The sequence below is a fragment of the Homo sapiens genome, chromosome 5 (assembly GCF_000001405.40).
Source record: "Homo sapiens chromosome 5, GRCh38.p14 Primary Assembly".
Classification (NCBI taxonomy): Eukaryota; Metazoa; Chordata; class Mammalia; order Primates; family Hominidae; genus Homo; species Homo sapiens.
In genome coordinates, this window is record NC_000005.10 from 135,710,968 (window position 1) to 135,733,899 (window position 22,932).

A 22,932-nucleotide genomic window follows, 5' to 3' on the forward strand; every position below is an offset into this window, starting at 1 on the left:
GGAAGCTTTGATTTGAAATATAAGTTGGATGGTTACATGGCACTTAGAAGCCTCGCCATAAAATAGGAAAAGCTGCAAGATGGCAGAGCCACAAAAATGGCCAAGTTCCCATTTGAGGGAAATGCCCAAGTTCCCATTTGAGGAGAGCAGTGCAAGAGTTGCCTGACCAGAAATATTCACTGTGGACTTTCTGTGAGAGAGAAATAAACCTCTTCTGCATGAAGCCATTGAGATTTGAGATATTTCTGTTGCATGAGCTAACATTAGGCAACCTTGATTAATGCATCACACAAGCAACATGCACTTTGGGAAGCTTGGGAGCCAGTCAAAGAGATAGTCAGTCATATTCCAGAGCAGCTCAACCAAGGCACAAGAGGTGTCCCCAAGTTACTGCACTTGTCTTAGGCATACAAGCAGCATCGAGAAGACGGGGGAAACCATTCGTAGCTTCAAATATGAACCCCAGCCTCTGGGAGAAGAATTACAAGCCTCTCCAGGGGCTGCTTCACAAGTTGCTTTTGGCCTCATGGGTATGCTGGTGGGTTCTCAGGAGTGCCATGTGATCTGCTAGATTCATGTTATTTGGAGGCAAGGAACGCTTCAGTGCTAAGACCATTAGACAATACTCTTTTAATTTACTTCATCTTTCTCCCAGGAACATATAGAACCTGCTTGTGCATAAAAAATGGAAGACTACTTTCAAGTTGCTACTGATCCCAAAGTCTTTCCAGCGCATTAAAATCTGTCCATCCTTTTGTGCCCTCTCCTCAGTGCCTGGACTGTATTCTTCAGTTACTGGGTTTGGCACCCCATGATTGCTGATGTCTCCTGCACCCTCATTCTGCTCCGTTTATTGATTACCCCATCCCTCTTCCTAAGGGCCACAGCTGCCACTTCCATAGACCTCAGAACTTTTTCACCTGGACTTCTGTACCCACCCCTTCACTGGCCCCCCTGCCTCTAGTGTCCCCCTCCCACCCAGGCATCCTGCAGGCCGCATTCTTCAGTCCCTCTGAAGCACAGTTCTCCCAACTTCTCGCAAGTCTGCTTGAAAACTTCCCACGTCTTTGTTGGCCTTGACCCTGAATTGTCGATGATTTTCTAATGGAATCAGAGCATCTTTTGTTCCAAAGTTTTCTCATTGTTTTCTTTCAGTGGGATTGTATCTCCCGCCAGGCACACCCTACTGTTTTTGTGAAAATTATAGGCTGCAAATAACTGCTTAAGTAAACTGCCAGACGAGGTACATTCTTCACATGGAAAATTCCAGCTGTTGAACAAGTTTATGGGCTTTATTTTTGGAGCAAAGAATTCATCAAGTGAAGAATAGAATCTTCCAGGTGCTCCACCTCTACTCCTATCATAAAGCGGGAGTATGTCTCTGAGTTTTCTGTGTCTTTCAAGGTCAAATTTATGACCCTAATACTTATTAACTCTCTGTTTCTGGTGACTTCCTTGGGCCCTTTCTGCAGCCTTACAGTAGACACTTTGGAGAATACACAATGAGAAACAAATACAAGAGACAAGAGAGAGGGCTTGAGGAAGAGATCAGTCTCCAGCAGGCTTCCCCTGAGACCTGACTGTGTTCACTGCCTTAGGCTCCAAGAGTTGATACCTCATCATGAGGATACTTCTGGCTTATGCCTGGTTATTCCCTCAACCCAAACAGTTTCAACTGAGGCTCACCAAAAGATCAGCTTCCTCCCCTTGAATGCTTGTGGGGAGGAGAGGGTACTCCAAAAGAAGTACTCAAGCTTTGTGCTCAGACCGCATCTGCCCCTTGCACTTGGGGCAAACCTGCCCTTCCACAAAGCATTCTAGACATGACTGAGGAGCACATGAAGTATGTTTACCTGTTCCCTTCTTCAGACTCCGTTTCCCTCCAGTGCCCCTGTGTCTCACTCTGCAAAGCAACTATGCATGCATAGACCATCCTCCATAGCCACCATTCAGGGAGGCTCTGTATGCCAGAACTTGCCCAGTCTCAGGCACCCACCCCATCAAAACTTATCCATCCTATGTTCCCCTTCTGCCAAATTCTGCAATCAGCTGATCTGATAAACCAACTTATATTTTGGGTTTAACGAACAGTGATCGCTCAGCATTAACCTAAGAACTTGCTATGCAATATATGTTCCCCAGGCCAGTAGCAGTGCCATCACCTGAGAGCTTGTTGGAAATGCAGAATCTCAGGCCCAGCCCAGACCTTCTGAATTGCAACCTGCATTTTAACAAGATCCCCAGGAGATTCAAATGCACATTAAATTCTGAGAAGCACTCACCTAATATATATTTTGCTCTTTTCAGCAGTATAATGGCTTTCAACGCTAGGCATTTCGTGTTAATGATGCTAGTAGTTTGGTATTTCATACTTTTACGAAACTTTTTCACAACTATGAACTTGTGTGGTTATCAGAGCAGCTAGACTGAGTTCTCAGAGGCACCAGGGGCCCTTCTGAGGCCTCCCAGCAGCCCTGATGAGGCTTGTCATTGGAAAATTGTTTAGTAGCTGAACAAATGAATAAACGTAGAACCTCCAAAAGAGACAGGACACGGGACATTATGTATTTTGCAAGTGAAGAAACTAAGGCTCAAATAGGTCAAGACTGGCTCTTTATAGCTTATAAGTAGCAGTACCGATGCTCCAACCTCAGGCTTCCAACTTTGCATCTCCAAGTGACTGAAGTTAGTTCTTAGGGTGAGGAGGCGTTTTGAAGCTCTGTAGCAGACAGATTTGAGTGTTCCTCCCTCCCCCATCATATTTCAAATTCTACAACGAGGTTTGAATTTGTGTGGAATGACACTCCTACTCTGGTGGGGCAGAGAATCCCATGCACTTTGCACAGCCTCACCTGGGAGCCTCCCTCCTGCACTGGCTGCAGGCCCTCTGTCCACAGGACATCTTCCCCTCGAGGAGCCTCCGTTGGGTTGGTCGTGTGGGAAACCATGCAGGGAGCTGTTCCAGGAGATGGAAACACTTGCTTCTCATCCCCTGCGAGTGAAAGGAAGCAGCCCCAAAGGCTGGAGCAGGAGTGCGGGCGAGATGCAAGGCAGGGCTTATTGAAAATGGTCTCCCGGTTGTGAGACTGATGAAGTTAGAACCATCTATGCCTGCCCGCCCCACCCCTACCATTCCCTGGGGGCGCTGGGCTCCAGCTATCCACCTGGAGCTGGTGAGGTGTGGCCAGAGTGCAGAGAGGCGCATCGGCTGAGGGGTTGGCATGCCCCTGTTGGGAGGCCAACGGATGGGCAGTGTAAAGGAAGGGCAGGGAGGTCTGAGTGCGGAAAGCCTGGACCACAGGAATGTGCCTAGCCTCCCTGGGGACCAGACAGAAGCAGATGAGGGCTTTGTGGTCCACAAATTCCTCCAGCCCCAGCCCTCGACTTGGAAAAGACGTGCTCCAGATGTCTCTCCCCATGCAGTGCCCTCTCTGCCCTGTTCCACAGTCCTGGCCCATCCTCCAGAGATGTCCTGCAATCTATTCAGTGTGGCGCCCGCTGGAAGCTCCACCCACCATGTCGGGCTTGCAGTGGAAGCCAACAGCAGTGAGGCTGCTCAGGGCATGTGCAGTTTGGTGGGTATGGGGTCCAGGGTGTATTACCTTCCCTTGAACCTTCACCCACACTTTGACTTAGGTGCCCTGGCTGCAAAAAGCAGGTGGACAAAGTTCATAATTGTTAGTGCTACTTAACACTGAGCATTTCCTATTCCAGGCACTCTTCTAAATGCTTTACAGGCATTACATCATTCAACCTCCAGCCCGACCCTGGGAGACAGGAAGGCCATTATTATCCTATTCTATAGATGGAGCAAAGGAAGCACAAAATGGCCAAGTACTTGCCCAAAGTCACTGGTGAGTGGAAGAGCCCTATGGCCCTGTGCAGAGCAGTAAGAAGACCTGTGCAAAGGTGACACACAGACCATTCTGTTCAGTGCCCTGGGCTCAGGCCTGGGGTCTGTGGGCAATGACATGGAGAAAGGATGCTGAGGGCAGACTGCTGAGTCGGAGCTTCACCCTGTAACAAAGGGGAGTCTCTGGAGGGGAGGAAAGAATCTGCCCCATGGTTCAGGTAAGCATTTCTGGGGCCGCATTGGAGAGGCAGGAGACAGGAGGCCTGGAGGCCCCAAGAAGGCTATTGCAGCAGGGCAAATATGAGGAGGTGAGGGCTGAACTGGGGCAGAGATAGTGAGGCTGATGAGCCACTTCGAAAAAAACAGCAGAGGTGCAATGGATAGAATTTGGCTGCTGATTTGATATTTACAATGGGTTCCTTGTCTAGGCTGGGGTTTCTGGTGCAGAAGGGGCACATTTCTGTCTCTTCCCTGCATAAGCTGTGAGTCACTATAGCAGGGGATGAAGTGAGTGGGGACTTCATTCAGGTTTCTGGGGTTTGACCCAGTGGCCCCAGTCCTAGTCAGGGTGGTACAGCTCTCCCCAGCAAGCCTGATGACAGTGGGTGTGCCTTGTGCCTTGGGATGGCTTCTGTTGACTTTAGTGGCCTTTCCCACCCCACCCCTTTCCCAGCATTGCCCCTTTGTGGGCTATTACAGACACTTGTAGCTGCTGGGTGAAATGCTGCCCAGGAGCGGGTTGGGAGGCTGTGACCGGTCAGAGGTGACTTCACCTTACTGGACGCTCCAAAGCCCCAAGAAATGAATGGGATGTTTGGGCACTAGAGTGTTGGCATGCCAAAGGGCATTTGTAGGAGAAAACAAATTTCTTAAACTACTAATCCGTCAGCTCTATGCTAATGCCTCCTGAAAGAAAACCTTCAACTTGGATAACACTGCCTTTTCTCTCTTAGAACCACTTGTGCCTATAATTAGGCAGCAGTGCCTCATTAAAGCCATTTCCTGTATTATAAAACTGAAGACCTGGCTTGACCAAGGTGTGGCTTTCTGAGGCTAAAATCAGCTTGACATGCCTGTGCTGTGATGTAATCCTGTTTCTCTGGGCTGTGGGGCTCCACTTTGTATTTCCTGGCTTTTACTTGGAATAAGTAGGTTCCTGTGAGATTTGATTGTTTAATTTCTAGCACTAATAACTGCCAGTTATCCAGAAGTGCAGTTTCCAAGGGTTTCAAGGCTTTGTGGTACCTGCAGCTTGGACCCCTTGTCACCTGGTGGTGTATTCCTACATTGTGAAAAATTCTCACTGTTGACAAAGCATTTTGGCCGAACTATCCTCCTTTCCTCAAGATGGAGGCTGCTTCCTACAGGAAAAAGTGAACCTCATGCTTACCTGGTCTGGGACAGCCAGCAGGATCACCATCAGGGAAGAGAAGCAAAACTTAGCACAATTACTGAGAAAACTGGGAGAGAACTGCTCCACTCCACCACCCGCTCCACTGTGCACATGGCTGCTGCATTGGCTTAGACAGTTGGGTTTTTTATCAACACATTTATATGGGCCAGCAGGTGCATGGTAATCTGGGTTTCAAGAAGAGGGTGAGCCTATTGCTGACTTATGCTCTCTGAGAATCTCTTGGGCTTCCCAAGAGATTGGGGTAGATAAATCTCCTCAGAGGGACCAGACATTCTCTGCTCTCACTGCGGATCATTTCCTGCACCTTAGTGTGAATGAGTTTGCCTCTTCTCCACCTCCCTTAGTAGATGTCTGGCCTTGTTTCCTCTTCAAGAGGTTTCAGGCATCTGTCAGCCAGTATCAGGTAAAGAAAGGACTCTTGTCCAACAAGGAGTCTTCCAAATAAAAAGGCAGTCCCTGATTCTATCTATGTAAAAGGTCGATTAGGGCAAGGCGTTGGGTCTGAAGCCTTAAATTACAAACATAGGATTTGGGTTGTGGAAAGCTCTGGACTAGGAAGGATGGCCTTTGAGACCACTCATCCCCAGCTCCGGCCAGCATAGCCTTCCCTCCATAGCAGCATCTCTCAGCCTTTTTTCTTTATTGCTCCTGAAGGAGCCTATTTAGAAATGTTTCCCCTAATCACTCCTTCCCATAAAATTTTAATACAACAACAACATTGTATACCGGTTTATGTACTATGGGCCTTGGGAGGGCATAACCATTATAATAGCTAAGATTTTTTTTGCAACCCCCAAGCATGATGTTTTGTCCTGTTGGGGCTAATCTCACCCTCCTTGAGAAAGTGTGTCTGCTAGCATATCCCTGATCAGTAGCTGTCCACCTTCGGGCAGATGTCGCTAGCATCAGGGAGCTCACTACCTGCTCTTCCTCAGGGCAGCCAGGTCCATTCACAGGTGGCCAGCTCTGGCAAGAAACTCGTCTCCTGCAGGTCCTGCCCACTGGTCCTCTTTCTGCTTCTTGCGGTCACAGACAGCACATTGCCTACTCCCTCTGCCCTGTCAACCCATGAGCAGATTGTGAGAAATCGCCACAGGCCACATCTGTGCCCTGCTTGAAGGTATCACTCCAGGCTGTCTTGTACCAGGGCCCGTCCACCCCAGAGCAGATGCTGAGATCTTTGTGGGCAATGTGGTGGACCGAATTTGCCCCCAAAAGATATGGAATCCTAACCCCAGTACCTGTGAATGGAACTTTATTTGGAAATAAGATCTTTGCAGATGTAATTAGTTAAAATTGGTTACATTGGATCAGGGTGGATTCTAACTCCAATAACTGGTGTCCTTTTATTAGAGAAAGGAGAGGGAGACTCAAACATGGCTACACAACGCACAGGGAAAAGTGTCGCATGATGGGGGATGCACAGGTTGGTGTAGATACAAGCCAAGAACTCCAAGGCTGCTGGGAGCCATCAGAAGTGGGATGAGAAAAGGGAGGGCTCTTCCCAAGACCTTGAGAGGGAGCACAGCCCTGCTGATCCCACGATTTGATTTCGGACTTCTTGCCTTCAGAACTGAGAGAATACAGTTCTGTTCTTTGAATATTGTCAGTTCTGGTCCTTTGCTGCAGCAGATCTAAGAAATGAATATGAACAGGTAAAAGGAACGTCAGGTAAACGGCGTCTCTCCTCTCTGCTTGTCTCTCAGCATATGGCCACGTAAGTCAAATTTAAAAAGTCAATTTTCTGGAAATTAATTGTGGGCTTGAGACTCCTTTTTTGTTGTTGTTGTTGAGAGGGAGTCTTGGTCTGTCGCCCAGGCTGGGGTGTAGCGGCATGATCTCGGTTCACTGCAACCTCTGCCTCCTGGGTTCAAGCGACTCTCCTTCCTCAGCCTCCTGGGTAGCTGGGACTACAGGTGCGTACCACCATGCCTGGCTAATTACAAGGAGTGACCTCAGGCCTTGGTGAGGGGTGAGGGAAGCTGAGTCCCCTTGGCTCCCCAGCAGGCTTTACTTCATGGAACCCTGTGGAAACTTTGCTGCCTCTATCCTTGATGAAAAGTAATAGCCGGGCACTAGGCTCACATGACAAAGCCTTTTCCTTGCATCAAGCCGGTGAGTCACTGGTGAGGACTGTGGTAAAGATGTGACATAGCTCATCTCAAACCACGTAGGTTGCAACAATCTGGGAAGAATCTCTCTCTTTGAGGATCACCTTGTTAATCTCTTTGCACCTCATCTGTTTCTTCTGTAAAATGGGAATAACAGTAATATGGATCTCTATGCTGAAATGAGAATTATAGAAGAATTTAGCACCATGACTGTCACACAGTAATAATGAATATAAACGTGTTTTTTATTATTATGATGATTCTAATTGTAAAAAGAGAAATCCCTTTATTAAAAAGAACAGCCTTGGAATAGTACCCAGCAATTAAAAGAACAAACTCTTCATACATCCAACAACTTGAATGAACCTCCAGAGAATTATGCTGCCTGAAGAAAAACCAATCCCCAAGGGTTACTTACTGTATGATTCCATTTATGTAATGTTTTTCAAGTGATGAAATCTTAGAGCACAGATGAGTAGTTGCCAGAGGTGAGGGGTGGGAGGGAAGTGGATGTGGTTATCAAAGGGCAAGGGGGGCCCTGTGGCTTTGGAGCTGCCCTGTGTCTTGACTGTAGTTGTGAGTACACAAAACTATATGTGTGATAGAACTATTGAACACACACATAAATGAGTACAACTGGGGAGGTTTGAAGATCGGTGGATTGCATGAACAAGATTATCCTGGTTGTGATTTTATACCATAGTTTTACAAGATGTTATCACTGAGGAAAACTGGGTAAAGGGTACACAGGATTTCTCTGTGTTATTCCTTACAAGTGCATGTGAATCTGCAATTATCTCAAAATCAAACATTTAATTTAAAAGATGGGCTAACTCTAAAAATAGAAATGTAAACACAGTAAGTTGAAGAGCCTGCGTTTACATTTTACAAATCCGGGATTTATTTTTCCCTTTGAGATTTTCCTAGAACCCACTCTCTCATTGCATTCAGTCAAATTGACTTGAAAGTTGTATGTTTGGGCCCACTAGTGTACCAGAGGCAGTAGGTGTGTATGGGTATGTGTCAGTGTCTCAGGAGTGGGCTGGGGATGCTGAGCAGGCATGCCGGAGAAGCAGAAGTTGGGGAGAAGCACAAAGAGTGGAATCCTGGCTTCCACCCCTCCCCATGGAGCCCAAGGGAAGGGATGCAGAGAGGTAGTGGGGGGACACCAGGAGAGATGCTCCCTACACCAGGGAGGGAAGGCACCCTCATGCTGCTACATGAAGAGAGAGCCTGAAGAACCTTCACCCAGGGGATCTGAGCCCAGCCCTGCTCAGGAATGTGTCCTGGAGTGTGGGACAGGAGAGGGAGGACTGGGAGTAAGGAGGAGAGTGCAGTGCTGTTTATGGCTGGTCCTGATTGCCAGCTGAGGGTATGGCCTCTCTCCCTGAGGTGGGCTGAGAAGGGGCTCGGATCAGCATACCTGTGGATTGCATCTGCATTGACCCACTGCCCTCCTGCAGTCCAGCCCTGGAGGTGGCACCAACCACCTGCCCCTCGCTGCCATCTCCTGCAGTAGAGATGACACCACCTTCCACACTGACTTGGTGGGAGGTCACGGTGCAGAGGCACTGTCTACCTGCGGGCAGGGCATGGCTGCAGTCCACCCAGCAAGGCTTTCTTTGAAGCAAGTTCTGAAGGGGCTTGTAGATGAGCTAGATCAGTAGTCTCCCCAAAACCATTTGTTTTGTAAGCCAAGTATAAGCCTTTCAGTATTCCATTTTTTCATTTAGTCAGCTAAAGGCTGAAAAACGCAGTAGCTCAAAGTCACTCCAGCTCCTGCTCATTGTAGCAGTGGAGCTCTTGACTATGGGGTGGGATTTCCCTCCAAGGGTTCTCTTCCATCCTGAGTGATTCAGTTGACTCAGACCCATTCTTGGGTCCAGGGCAGCTGAGGTAAGACAGCTGCTGGGACCCACAGGAGGGGTCTGTGTTGCCAGGGCCCGGAAGGGTGCTTTTGAAGCAAATGTGGAAGCCCCAGTTGGCACAGAAGCACTGGCTGGGCCCAGGCCCTTTGTGAAAGGAGGATGTGGAGTTGGTGGTGGGCACCAGGCCATGTGACACATGCAGCTGCCTCTACTTAGGTGTCCTTCCACCTAAACTGTGCCACCCCTTTGGTGACCCAGCCAGCCTGTGTGACTCAGGACACACTTAGGAGTCAGGAGTAAAGTGACTTTTCACGAGAATCAATGACCCTGTGAATCCAATGTTCACTGTCACTGATACTAAAGAACCATGGGTTCCCCAGAATGGGTTGATGCTGTGGCTCCCGATATCCATCTGCCCCATGCATAGCCCAGCCCTGCAAAATCGTGGTGGATCCTGGTCACATGATCATCTCCCCCAATCCATTGCACGGAGAGACCAGGGTGAAAAAAAAGGGAAGAGAGGAACATAAGCCAGGCCTGGAAACCACTGAACAAAAATGGGGAGTGGAGCAGGGTGGTGTAGGGAAGGGAGAAGCGTGCACTTTGGAGTTCTCCTGGTGGTGGACGGGGATGGATGTGGTGGTGGAAGTCTCTGGCTGGACCTGGTAACCCTGGGTTCTGGCCCTCCCTCTGACACTGGCATGTGAAATCCTAGCATTCCTGAGTATATCAGGAACACAAATGATGCTTAAAGAATGGGGTGCTCTTAGGGTAGGTAGCAGAGGGAGACCTGGCTAGAGGGCTCTGAGCTCCCATTCCCTTTTTTATTTTTATTTTTATTTATTTGAGGCAGAGTCTCTCTCTGTCGCCCAGGCTGGAGTGTAGTGGCCTGATTTCAGCTCACTGCAACCTCTGCCTCCTGGGTTCAAGCGATTCTCCTGCCTCAGCCTCCAGAGTAGCTGGGACACCATGCCTGGCCTTTTTTTTTTTTTTTTTTTTTTTTTTTTTGACAGAGTCTTGCTCTGTCGCCCAGGCTGGAGTACAATGGCGTGATCTTGGCTCACTGAAACCTCCATCTCCTGGGTTCAAGCAATTCTCCTGCCTCAGCCTCCCAAGTAGCTGAGATTACAGGTGGCTGCCACCATGCCTGGCTAATTTTTTGTATTTTTAGTAGAGATGGGGTTTTCCCATGTTGGCCAGGCTGGTCTCGAAATCCTGACCTCAAATGACCTGTCCGCCTAGGTCTCCCAAAGTGCTGGGATTACAGGTGTGAACCACCGCACCCGGCCTCCCACTCACATTTTAACTGGAGTTGTTCCACTTGTGTCTCATTACACTTTGGGACCCATGTAAGATTCATTTCCAAAGGATTCCACAGCTGAAGCTGTGTAAAAGCTACCAGCTGGATGGTGTGAGCACTGCATAATTGAAATGGATCCCTGCTCTCCAAAAGCAAGCGTAAGAGCTGGGAGGGCTAGAGGGGGACAGTTCCTGCAGGAGGAGGAGACTTCTCAAGGGGTGCAGGTGAAGGGGAGGAAGAGGGCAGCAGAGAACTGTGTGTCCACAGCAGGCTGCTGACAGCCCTGCTCACTGACTGGGAGGGTGCCAGAGCTCTGGGAAGGTGAACCCTGGCCACAGCCCAAGAAGGATGGGGTTGTGATGCCCTGGAATTCTTCTTTATTATAAGATGTGCTTTGGTGACAAACATGTTGCTGAAAACCAGAAATGATCCTCAGAGAGGCCACTGAGCCCAGGTATGTGGGGCCTGGGGCCCCCTCTCTGCTTCCCCAAGGCTGTTCCAAAGCAATCCTCAGAGTTTAGTCTAAAGGGCTCTCTGGACTCCATGTTGTTGTGAAATTGTATACTGTGGTTTTGCCGTTGTTGTCAACAATATCAGCAGGCTTAGGACAGAAATAATTTAAAATGAAGTATCTTCTGAATCTATGTAGAAACATGCTAACTGAGCAGCCATGGGTCAGGAATCTGTTGTCTTCTCTTTCTTCGAAATCTCTCACATTTACTTGTGCTTGCTCTATCTGAAAGCAGCACTTTGCCAGGCTGTTTGGGTGTTTGTCTCTCTGATGGTTCAACTATCGGAGGTTCTATACTACCTGCCCCAAGCTTCTTACACTATTAGCAGCACTTTGGGCAAACTTCTAGGCAGTTTGATTGTGTAACCTGACTGGCTGAGGGACCTATGAATTTGTGTGTTTGTAGCAAAAGGTATTTGCCTGCGATTTTTATTTTCTTTCTCTTTTCAGACACCTTGCCACGTGTTTACATTTTTTATTATGGTGAACAGGCAGGAACATGGTGTGGAACTGAATCTCATTCTGTCATCTACTGTGATGTGTGGCCTTGAATCTTAGGCAAGTTACTAGTCTCTTCGGAGACTGTTTCCTCACTGCTGAAAGGGAATTACTAATGGTGCTTTCTTTACAGTATTATGAGGGTTGAATTGAATAACGCATGTAAAGCTTTCAGAACAGTGTCAGGCCTGTAGTGAGGTCTCATGATTGAAACAACAGCAGCAATGACCTCATCATTGTCCGGACAGTTAGGGGATCTTAGAGGGTGCTCTGGAATGCCAGCCTTGTCCTCCTTGTCCCTGGTGTCCGGTCAGGTTGACCTCAGCTCAGCTGTGATGGGCTCAGGCTTTTCATCTCATTTAGCTTTTCCCAGGCAGAGTCCATAGGCCATCTAGAGGGAATGAAGCGCTCCATGCTGGCTGCCCATGAGGGGGTCACCCCCAGATAGGGCCAGACTACATGGCCTGATGTTCCTGCATGACCGCTTTGCTCACCACAGAGCCCCTGCCCCTCTTTGGAGAGGCCCGCATGGCTAGGTATCTTCTTGCTGAGGAAGGAGCCAGCCCCTGTGCACCCATACCTGAGGGCTCAAAGCTTCCTGACACAAGAGGCTTCTAGCAAGCTCAATTCCAAAGTCTGGCGCCCCAGACTATGTATTTGCTCTTAAGTCTTTTTAACTCCCCAGTGCACTGACAAGCTTGAAGACAAAGCCCAACAATGGGTTTTCATTGGCGAATCAATTCACTATTCTTTCAGCTACTAGAAATTTGCAAAAATCCCCATTCAATGGGAGCTGAAACTATTCTGAATGGTATCCAGTGGAAGGGAGTCTGTCTCTCACTCTCTCTCTCTCTCTCTCACACACACACACACACACACACACACACACACAATGGGGAGGGGGACAGCTCTAGGGACGTCTGAGGTACATGCATTCCCCTGCAATCCCTTTTCTCTTTTTTTATTTAAAAAAGGCACAAACCATAGTATGACAACTGCAGTCCTCTTTTTTTTTTCACTAAAAAAAAAAAAAAGACACAAAACCACACTGTAAAACCATAACAGAAATGTTGCTTTAATCACTCCTAATCCCATCACTGAAGCAAATCAACTGTTTTTAATCTTCCCTTCCAGGGCCTGCCTGTAAGCAGACATGTTTCTAAACAACTGTAATCATAACACAGTTTTGCATTCTGTTTCTCCCTTATATCTTAACCCTTGCCCTGCAGTCTTCATAGGCATCGTTTTTAATGGCTCACTCAATTCCATCAAGTGGGGCTTCTGGAATTTACTTATCAGCCGCCTAGCTGACTAGTACATCATTTCCTGGAAGAGCCCACATTAGCTGAGAAACAAACATCTAGGTGATTTCTATAATTTCTCAATGCTATTGAGCTCTAGAAATACCTGGCCTTAAAAAGCTTCCTTGGGAAAGATACATTATTGACCCAAGACTGGAGGTCTTCTCTACTTATTTAAATAAGTGTCTTTGTTTTCTAAGGAGGCTCAAGCCCAGATCCCTTGCACACATGGTTTTGTCTTTTTCAGCAGCACAACCAGAGACTGTCCTTTTCAATGGCTTTTCTCAACGGGAATTCAATTTGTTCTCCATTATCATCACCACCATCATCATGATCATTTTTCTAAGAGCTGCCATTTATTGAGCGTTTTCCCTGTGCCAGGCACTCTAAATATTATTTTTGCATCATTATTTTGTTTAATGCCATTAGTTGCCACTGTTATTGTCCTCAGTTACAAATGAGGAAACTGAGGCTCAAGATGTTGAAGTGGCTTGTTCAAAGTCTAATGGCTCTTAAATGTCAGAGGCTGCCTGCCTCATCTCATCCCATACCTCCTTGGAGCCCCCTCAGGTAGGCGTGAGCCCCTGCGCCACCCAGCTCCTCGAGTGAGGGCCTTTCCTGCAGGGTAGAGTTTGGTCTAAAGCTCGCAAGATGGGCTGCTAAGCCCAAGGTGCCTTCCCCACAGTGCGTCTCTCTTTGGGTAGAAAAGCCAGCCTTCCTCCACCCCACAGGAACCCTGGACAGGACAGTGTGTGCCTGGCTGACATGGGGACTTAGAGGCCTGTGTCTGGCAGAAGTTGGGGCCCAGAGACAGGAAAAGCCTTGCCTAAGGTCACAGGGTGAGTCATTGGCCCTGATAGGCTATAACCTTGGTCTCTTGACCTATGACCAGGGTTCTGTTCTCCTCGTTGGGAGATGATTTCAACAGACTGCATTTGAAATGGAAGGAGAGGCTTTAGAGTTGGCCAATAGCTCTGCCCTTGGAACAGGCTGGTGCCATCATGTAACCAGACAGCCCATGGCAGAAACTGGAAAGAAGGCAGTGACTGGTGCCCAGTGTGGTGAACAGAGGTGGAGAAACAGCACAGACTCGGGTGTGTGAGGAACACAGAACAGGGCCCAGCCCAGCCTTGGCTACTGGCCTGCCTGGTCAGGCTTATCACAAGAGCTCCTGCCAAAGGGATTTCCTAAAAGGAAAAGGCTTTTTGCTCTTTTGAGTCTTCCACAAGTAGTAAAAATCCTGAGAGGGACCTTCGTGATGACCATACCTTTCCTGGGCAGAAGCAGAGACTGCTACAGGAACAGAGACAGCTTTTGCTACTGATTCTTTCAACAGGTATTTATTGAAGCTTTCTGTGTCAGATAATGGGGTTAACTGAGGGAATAAGACAGACAAGCTTTCTATCTTTATGAAACATCTATCTTAGCACGGATCATAAGCTAGTCAACAAGCAAGATACTTCCTGAAGACAAGTGATGTGAAGGAGACAGTCTAGGAGGTGTGGAAGAGACTGTGACTGGAGTGGGGGCTGGTGGAGTGGTCAGGGATGGCCCTTCTGAGGAAGTGCAGATCTGGGGCAGAGCACTCAGGCAGGGGAAACAGCACGTGCAAAGGCCCTGAGGTGGGAAACAGCTAGGCAAGTTTCAGGAACAGAAAGGAGGCTGAAGGGACAGATTTTATTCTAGGTTCAGCATTAGTGCCATTTAGAGTAAGAGGATTCCTAACCTGCATCTCTCAAATGGCCTCCCTCTCCTTCCTCAAGTTACCTGTTTGGGCTGTATTCCTCCTTTGCCTCTATAGTCATTACTGTTTCCCTCTCGTGGGCTCCTGTGTTGGCACACAGCAGTCAGAGGTGTTAGCTGTAGCTCTAGGGCAAGCAGTAACTGTTCTAAATGTCATGCTCCCTCCAAACTTTCAGACCTCTCCGTCTGATGGCATGTTTACATCTCAGATAGCTGTGTCCTCATCAGAGGCAGTTAACAGATCAAAATAGCATTTCTTGGACCTTGCAAAGTGACAAATCATGTTATGTTTACCTTAGGAACGCTAGGGTTTTCAAAAAAAAAAACTCCACTGTGGTTATTTAATTGGAGAAAGCTACCCTTGTTAATGGCTCTTAGTTAAACACACCATTAATGCCAGGGGAGACAGCACTGACAAGCTGCGCCTACTTATTGGCTGGTTGCTGATGGACACTGACAGACTCGAGGATCTCCCCGTGAAGAGACAGTGTAACTGTTGTGGGGTTGATCCAGGTGTGCACCACACTTACGACTATAGCCAGAGTCTGGCCCTACCAGGCCAGCAGTGCCTGAGTGCACACTGGAGGCCTCTGATGAAGCCCCAGCAGTGTAGCAGCAGGGCCATGTCTGCCAGTTTTCTGGGGACAGTCTCATGCTATGTCCTTTTTATTTTAATTAAGCTTTTAATTTTGAGATCATTGTAGGTTCACATGCAGTTGTAAGAAGTAATACAGAATCTACGTACCCTTTACCCAGTTTCTTCCAATGGTAACATCTTGCAAAAGTATAGTACAATATCACAATCAGAATATTGACCTCCATACAGTCAAATGGAGACATTTCCATTTCCATAATCACAAGGATCCCTCATGTTGCCCTTTTTGGCCTCACCTACCTCCCTCTTGCCTCCATTCCTTCTTAACCATTTGCAGCCATGAAACTGTTCTCCATGTCTGTAATTTTGTCATTTCACGAATGTTGCATAAATGGAATCCTGTGGTATGTAACTCTTTGGATTGGCTTTTCTTACTCAGCGTAATGCTCTGGAACTCCATCCAGGTTGTTGCATGTGTCAATAGTGTGTTCCTTTTTATTGCTGAGTAGCACTCCATGGTGTGCGTGTACCACAGTCTGTTTAACCGTTCACCCACTGAAGGACATCTGGGTTATGTCCAGTTTTTGGCTACTATGAATAAAGTTGCTATAAATATTCATGTACATATTTTGGTGTGAACATCTTCATTTCTCTAGAATAAATGCCCAGAAGTGCAGTTGCTGGGTTCTCTGGTAGTTGCATATTTGGTTTTTTGAGAAACTGTTTCCCAGAGTGGTTGTCCTATTTTATATTTTCACCAGCAATGTATGAGTGATCCAGTTTCTATAGATCCTCGGCAGCATTTGGTGTCACTATTTTCAGTTTTAGCCTTTCTGACAGGTGTGTAGTGATATCTCTTTGTGATTTTAATTTGCATTTCCCCAATGGCTAAAGACGTTGAACATCTTTTCATGTGTGTATTGGTCATCTGTATATCCTCTTTGGAGAAATGGGTCTTCTTGTCTTTTGTCCATTTTTAAATTGAATTTTTTTTTACTGTTTTTTACATATATAGCCACAGGCTATATATATATATATATATACGTGTGTATAGTAAAAATAATATAGATATATATGTATGTGTGATAGTAAAAAAAACACTCTAAAATACATATATATGTATGTACACACACACAGAGTCTAAATTCTAGTCTTTTGTCAGATATGTGGTTTGCAAATATTTTCTCCTGCTCTATAGCTTGCTTTTTAATCCTCCTAGCAGGGTCTTTTTCGGAGCAAAAGTTTTTAATTTTGATGAAGTCCAATTTATCAGTTTTTCCTTTTAATGATCGTGCTTTTGATGTCAAGTTGAAGGACTCTGCCTAACCCTAGGAAAGATTTTCTCCTATTTTTTTTTCTAAAAGTTTTATAGTGTTTCGTTTTACACTTAGGTTTATGAGCCATTTTTAGTTAATTTACATATAAAGAGTGAGATTTGGGTCAAGGGTTTTTTTGGCTCATATATTGTCAATTGTTCCAACATCATTTATTGAAAAGACTATCTTCTCTCTGTTGATCTGTGTTTGTAGTTTTATCAAAAGTCAGTTGGACATATTTGTGTGAGTCCCATTTTTGGGTTCCCTTTTCTATTTCATTGTGTGTCTCTCGGCCAATACCACAGTCTTGATTGCTGTAGCTATAAAAGTAAGTCTTGAAATCAGGGAGAGTGATTCTTTCCATTTTATTTTAGCAATTCCAGTTTCTTGTTTCTTTGCCGTTCCAAATTTTAGAATAATCTTGCCTATATCTACAAAATAATTTGCTGGGATTTTGATAGAAATTTTGTGTTCTGTCTTTTAAGGGAACGTGGCTGGCCGTGCACGGTGGCTCACACCTGTAAACCCAGCACTTTGGGAGGCCGAGGCAGGTGGATCACCTGAGGTCAGGAGTTTTGAGACCAGCCTGGCCAACCTGGTGAAACCCCATCTCTACTAAAATACAACAATTAGCTGGGCATGGTGGTGGGCGCCTGTAGTCCTAGCTACTCAGGAGGCTGAGGCACGAGAATAAGTGGAACCCAGGAGGCGGAGGTTGCAGTGGGCTGAGATCGCGCCACTGCACTCCAGCGTGGGTGACAGATCGAGACTCTGTCTCAAAAAAAAAAAAAAAAATGTGGCTTTCTATAGTTAGCATGTATTTTGTATTTTTAATAGGTTGAACATTTAAAATAGCAAAAAAGAACTAAAAACATCTGTAAATCTATCACAGTGTATACAACCTATATAGACTGCTTTATAATCATCTTTCACCCAACAATATAAGTGAATATGATGACCCTTTTTCCGTGGTGATAGTTGTAATTTTAAATCATTTCATACTATTCTCTTATGTGGATACAGCATCATTTATATGGCTAATCCCTCACTGTTGCATACTTAAGGGTGTTTCTTTTTTAAATTTCTTGTTTGTGTATTTAATTTTTCCTGTCATAGACAAGCTGTGATAAATATCTTAAAACTATGTCTCTGAAAACATACTCAATTACTTCCTCAGGAAAAACTTATTTGAGTGAAATTGCTGGTGCCTTCTTGATTCTTCTGTTTTTCTGATGTCAGATGAAGATCCAGTTCTTTGAAGTGAAACTAGCATTTAGTTATCAGCTCAGGCCACTTTCTACCTCTGACTTGCCTTTCACCTCAGTTTCATCCTCTTGGAATTTCCCCTGAACACATACACAAATACACACACACACACACACACACACACACACACACACACACACATACACACACACCCCAAGGCTTGGATAGAGGAGTTAAAACAGATGAGAGCTCCACATTCTCTAAACTCTCTGTTGTTAACATCTTCTTTGAGGCTCTTCCTGTAGTTCAGAGCTCTGTGTCCTACTGCTAACCCCAGATGCAAAACAGATGCGAAACGGGTCCTGTGCTTTATTCCTTTTAGAAGATTTCCCCATACCCCTTCCATGTGCCTAGTAATTCTCTGGGGGCCGCTCTTCCTTTCTGAAAGGAGGTACATGGGGACTTCTGGGGCCCTACTGTAGAGCTTTGACTCCCATTGTCACTTAGGCCCTCTCCACACCCTGAGTAGCATGTGACTATTTTAAGAAAATTCCTTAAGGCCTTCAAAGAGTAATAGGATAGTTTTCTGGGAAGCTTGTTAAAATTCTTGAATATGTTCAAGGGATTTACATTTTCAAAGAGAGAATGTTTTGTTTGATGTTGAGGAAAGATTTTTTTTTTTTTGGTCCCTGGGAATTTAAATAATTTGCTTGACTTTCTAGTGGAAAGACCGCAGTGTTCTTAGATTCTGAATGTGGCATTTGTTAGAATCCTCCATGATTGATTGCAGGGAAAATGTGTGTAAATGATTTTGCAATACATTTTTAAACCAAGGGTCATCTGTAAGTTGTCAGCCTAAAAAAGTGGCATCTTGCTTGCATAAGTAAATTTTATTTCTTGGAAGGAGACAGTTGCTTAAAATGAGAAATATCAGTTTTAAATGATCATTAATGATGACCCCATGGATACCTTCCAGAAGAAATGGAATCAGTCTACCCCCTTGTGGATAGCTCAGAAAGTTCCTCATTTTCCTCACTAAAAGTTACATGTGAGAGTTCTGAGGGAACCACAGGCTATATGAGTTTCCTTCTCATCTAAAAGTAATAGGAAGTACATTTTATATAAAATTTGTGTTAAAGTAACTAGACATATCTTTGTAATAGCTAATTGGCCTTGTGACTGGTATTTTTAAATAACACAGTAAAAATAAATAAAAGGGGTGATGTTATACATTCATTATATGTAATATATATTATGTAGTGGTTCCTGTCTCACGTGCTCAGAGCAATGGGCAACTTCATCAGGTAAATCACTCTTCATGTCCCTGCCCAGAGCTCATAAACTGACAGGTGTAAGGTATATAAAGAGGTTGCAGGCAAGAAGCTTTGGGGCTCAGACCGAAGAGGTGATAAATAAAAATCACCATGATTTTGGGGGAGATTACTAGAGTCCAAGTGCTATTCTTTTTCTTTATGACTATTCTCTAAATTAATTCCTATAACAAACCTCTGCTGTTACTGTTCCAATTTGATATGGTTTGGCTGTGTCTCCACCCAAATATCATCTTGAATTCCCACATGTTATGGGAGGGACTTGGTGGAAGGTAGTTGACTCATGGGGGCCAAGTCTTTCCCATGCTGTTCTCATGATAGTGAATAAGTCTCACAAGATCTGATGGTTTTAAAAAGAGGCATTCCCCTGCACAAGCTCTCTCATTTTTTGCCTGCCGCCACCCACTTAGGATGTGACTTGTTCCTCCTTGCCTTCTGCCATGATTGTGAAGATTCCCCAGCCACACAGACCTGTAAGTCCAATTAAACCTCTTTCTTTTATAAATTGCTCAGTCTTGGGTATGTCTTAATCAGCACCATGAAAACGAACTAATACAGATTTTGGTACTAGTAGAGTGGAGTGCTGCTGAAAAGATACCTGAAAATGTGGAAGCAACTTTGGAACTGGGTAACAGGCAGAGGTTGGAGTAGTTTGGAGAGCTCAGAAGAAGACAGGAAAATGTGGGAAAGTTTGAAACTTCCTAGAGACTTGTTGAATGGCCTTAACCAAAATGCTGATAATGATATGGACAAGAAATCCAGGCTGAGGTGGTCTTAGATGGAGATGAGGAACTTGTTGGGTACTGGAGCAAAGGTGACATGTGCCTAGAAGGTGAGTATCATTATCTCTGGTTTACAGAGGAGGAAACTGAGGTTCAGAGGGGACCAGTTCAATAAGTGGGGAACAGAGCTGGGACATAAACTGAGATCTTCCGGCCCCAACCAGGGCTCTTTCCAGTATGCCACAGGGCCTGCTGTGGAGTTTCACTCATGTCCATGTGAAGAGACCACAAAACAGGCTTTGTGTGAGCAACAAGGCTGTTTATTTCACCTGGGTGCAGGTGGGCTGAGTCCGAAAAGAGAGTCAGTGAAGGGAGATAGGGGTGGGGCCATTTTATAGGATTTGGGTAGGTAATGGAAAATTACAGTCAAAGGGGGTTGTTCTCTGGCTGGTAGGGGTGGGGGTCATAAGGTGCTCAATGGGGGAGATTTTGAGCCAGAAGGAATTTCACAAGGCAGTGTCATCAGTTAAGGCAGGAACAGGCCATTCTCACTTCTTTTGTGATTCTTCAGTTACTTCAGGCCATCTGGATGTATACCTGCAGGTCACAGGGGATATGATGGCTTAGCTTGGGCTCAGAGGCATGACATTCCTGTCTTCTTATATTAATAAGAAAAATAAAACAAAATAGTGGTAAAGTGTTGGGGCAGCGAAAATTTTTGGGGGTGCTATGGAGAGATAATGGGCAATGTTTCTTGGGGCTGCTTCAAGCGGTATTAGGGGTGACGTGGGAACCCAGAGTGGGAGAGATTAAGCTGAAGGAAGATTTTGTGGTAAGGGCAATATTGTGGGGTTGTTAAAAGGAGCATTTGTCATATAGAATGATTGGTGATGGCCTGGATGCTGTTTTGTATGAATTGAGAGACTAAATGGAAGACACAAGGTCCAAATAAGAGAAGGAGAAAAACAGATATTAAAGGACTAAGAATTGGGAGGGCCCAGGCCATCCAATTAGAGAGTGCCCAAGGAGGTTCAGCATGGCCCTGCCAGCAAAGATTATTTATTTACTTTAAGAGGGAGTTAAGAGTGGCTGTTTGGGGATAGCACCAGGAGATATCAGCTGTGATGGCCTGGAGAAACAGTGTAAACCAGCAGTGTAAACAAGAGTAGGGCATTTATGAGTAGTTGAGTACGGTGAATAGGAGTATGACTAGACAGAAGATAGTAGAGATGACAAGTTTTTGGGGTGCAGTCCAAGTTGGGCTGGTGTCTGGAATAAGACTGGGGCCTAATAAAAAGGAGTGTCCATACAGGAGCTCAAATGGGCTGTACCCTGTAGCATTCCAAGGACAGGCCCGAATTTTGAGAAGGGCAAGTGGTAAAAGTATTGTCCAGTCCTTTTTAAGTTGGTGGCTGAGCTTGGTGAGGTGTGTTTTTAAAAGACCATTAGTCCATTCTACCTTTCCTGAAGATTGAGGACCGTAAGGGGTGTGAAGGTTTCACTGAATACCAACAGCCTGAGAAACTGCTTGGGTGATTTGACTAATAAAGGCCGGCCCATTATTGGACTGTATAGAGGTGGGAAGGCCAAACCGAGGAATTATGTCTGACAAAAGGGAAGAAATGACCACGGTGGCCTTCTGAGGCCCTGTGGGAAATGCCTCTACCTATCCAGTGATAGTGTCTACCCAGACCAGAGGTATTTTAGTTTCCTGACCCAAGGCATGTGAGTAAAGTCAATTTGCCAGTCCTGGGCAGGGGCAAATCCCCGAGCTTGATGTGTAGGGAATGGAGGGAGGCCTGAAAAATCCCTGAGGAGTAGTAGAATAGCAGATGGAACACTGAGAAGTGATTTCCTTAAGGATAGATTTCCACGATGGAAAGGAAATGAGAGGTTCTAAGAGGTGGGCTAGCAGCTTGTAACCTACATGGAAGAGGTTATGAAATGATGACAGAATAGAAGGGGCCTGTGAGGCTGCGAGGAGATATTTTCCTTGGTGCAAGAACCATTTGCCTTATGTGGGAAGAGATTGATAGGTGGAAGTTTCAGTGGGGGAGTAGGTGGGAGTGGCCAGATGAGAAGGAGAAAAACTGCCGTGAGGGATAGAAGTTGGAAAGCTAGCTGCTTTTTTAGCTACCTTATCAGCATAAGCATTGTCTTGAGCGATGGGATCTGATGCCTTTTGATGGCTCTTGCAGTGAATGACTCCAGCTTCCTTTGGAAGTAAAGTGGCTTTGAGAAGAGTTTTTATTAAAGAGGCATTAATGATGGAGGACCCATGCATAGTGAGGAAATTTCTTTCTGCCCATATAACAGCATGGTGGTGCAGAATATGGAAGGCATATTTAGAGTCAGTATAAATATTGACACATAGTCCTTTTGCAAGGGCGAGGGCTCGAGTTAAGGCAATGAGTTTGGCTTGTTGAGAGGTAATGGAGGGGGGCAGAGCAGTAGCCTCAATGATAGGTGTGGAAGATACTATAGCATAGCCTGCCTTTGCCGGTGAGTGGCGATTAGGCCTGGTGGAGCTGCCATCAATAAACCAAATGTGATCAGGGTGAGAAACAGTAAAGAAGGAAATGTGGGGAAATGGGGTGAACGTCAGGTGGACCAGAGAGATATAGTCATGGGGGTCAGGTGTGGTATCTGGAATAATGTGGGAGGCCGGATTGAAGTCCGGGCCTGGAACAATGGTAATTGTGGGAGATTCAACAAAGAGTGAGTATAGCTGAAGAAGCTGGGGAGTAGAAAGTATATGCATCAGGTGGGAGGAAGAAAATAGATTTTGGAAGTTATGAGAACTGTAGAGAGTGAGTTGAGCATAGTTTGTGATTTTGAGGGCCTCTAAAAGTATTAAGGCAGCGGCAGCCGCCACATGCAGACATGAGGGCTAGGCTAAAACAGTAAGGTCAAGTTGTTTGGATAAAAAGGCTACAGGGTGCAGTCCCAGCTCTTGTCTAAGAACTCTGACCACACAGCCCTGCACTTCGGCTGTGTGTAATGAAAAGGTTGGGATGATTTAGGGAGAGCTAGTGTGGGAGCAGCTTTTAGGGCTGTTTTTTAAGGAATGGAAAGGGGAGTGGGGAAAGGATTTAGGATTTATGGGGTCAGCTAGGTTTATCTAGGACAGAATGGGTTGTGGAGGGAGGTATTGAGGATAGAG

General features: G+C 45.9%; 1 protein-coding gene across 2 annotated transcripts in view, besides 1 other annotated feature; it reads left to right on the forward strand.

The window, feature by feature from the left end:
- Positions 1-22,932, forward strand: part of SLC25A48 (solute carrier family 25 member 48) — a 309,466-nt gene that overhangs the window by 131,796 nt on the left and 154,738 nt on the right. The window lies entirely within an intron of this gene.
- Positions 21,634-22,418: an enhancer, noted in NCBI's record as "OCT4-NANOG hESC enhancer chr5:135068290-135069074 (GRCh37/hg19 assembly coordinates)". NCBI's record gives its function as "activates a minimal SCP1, AML or CMV promoter by ChIP-STARR-seq in naive H9 embryonic stem cells {active_cell/tissue: H9 hESC(naive)}" and the evidence as "EXISTENCE:reporter gene assay evidence [ECO:0000049][PMID:30033119]".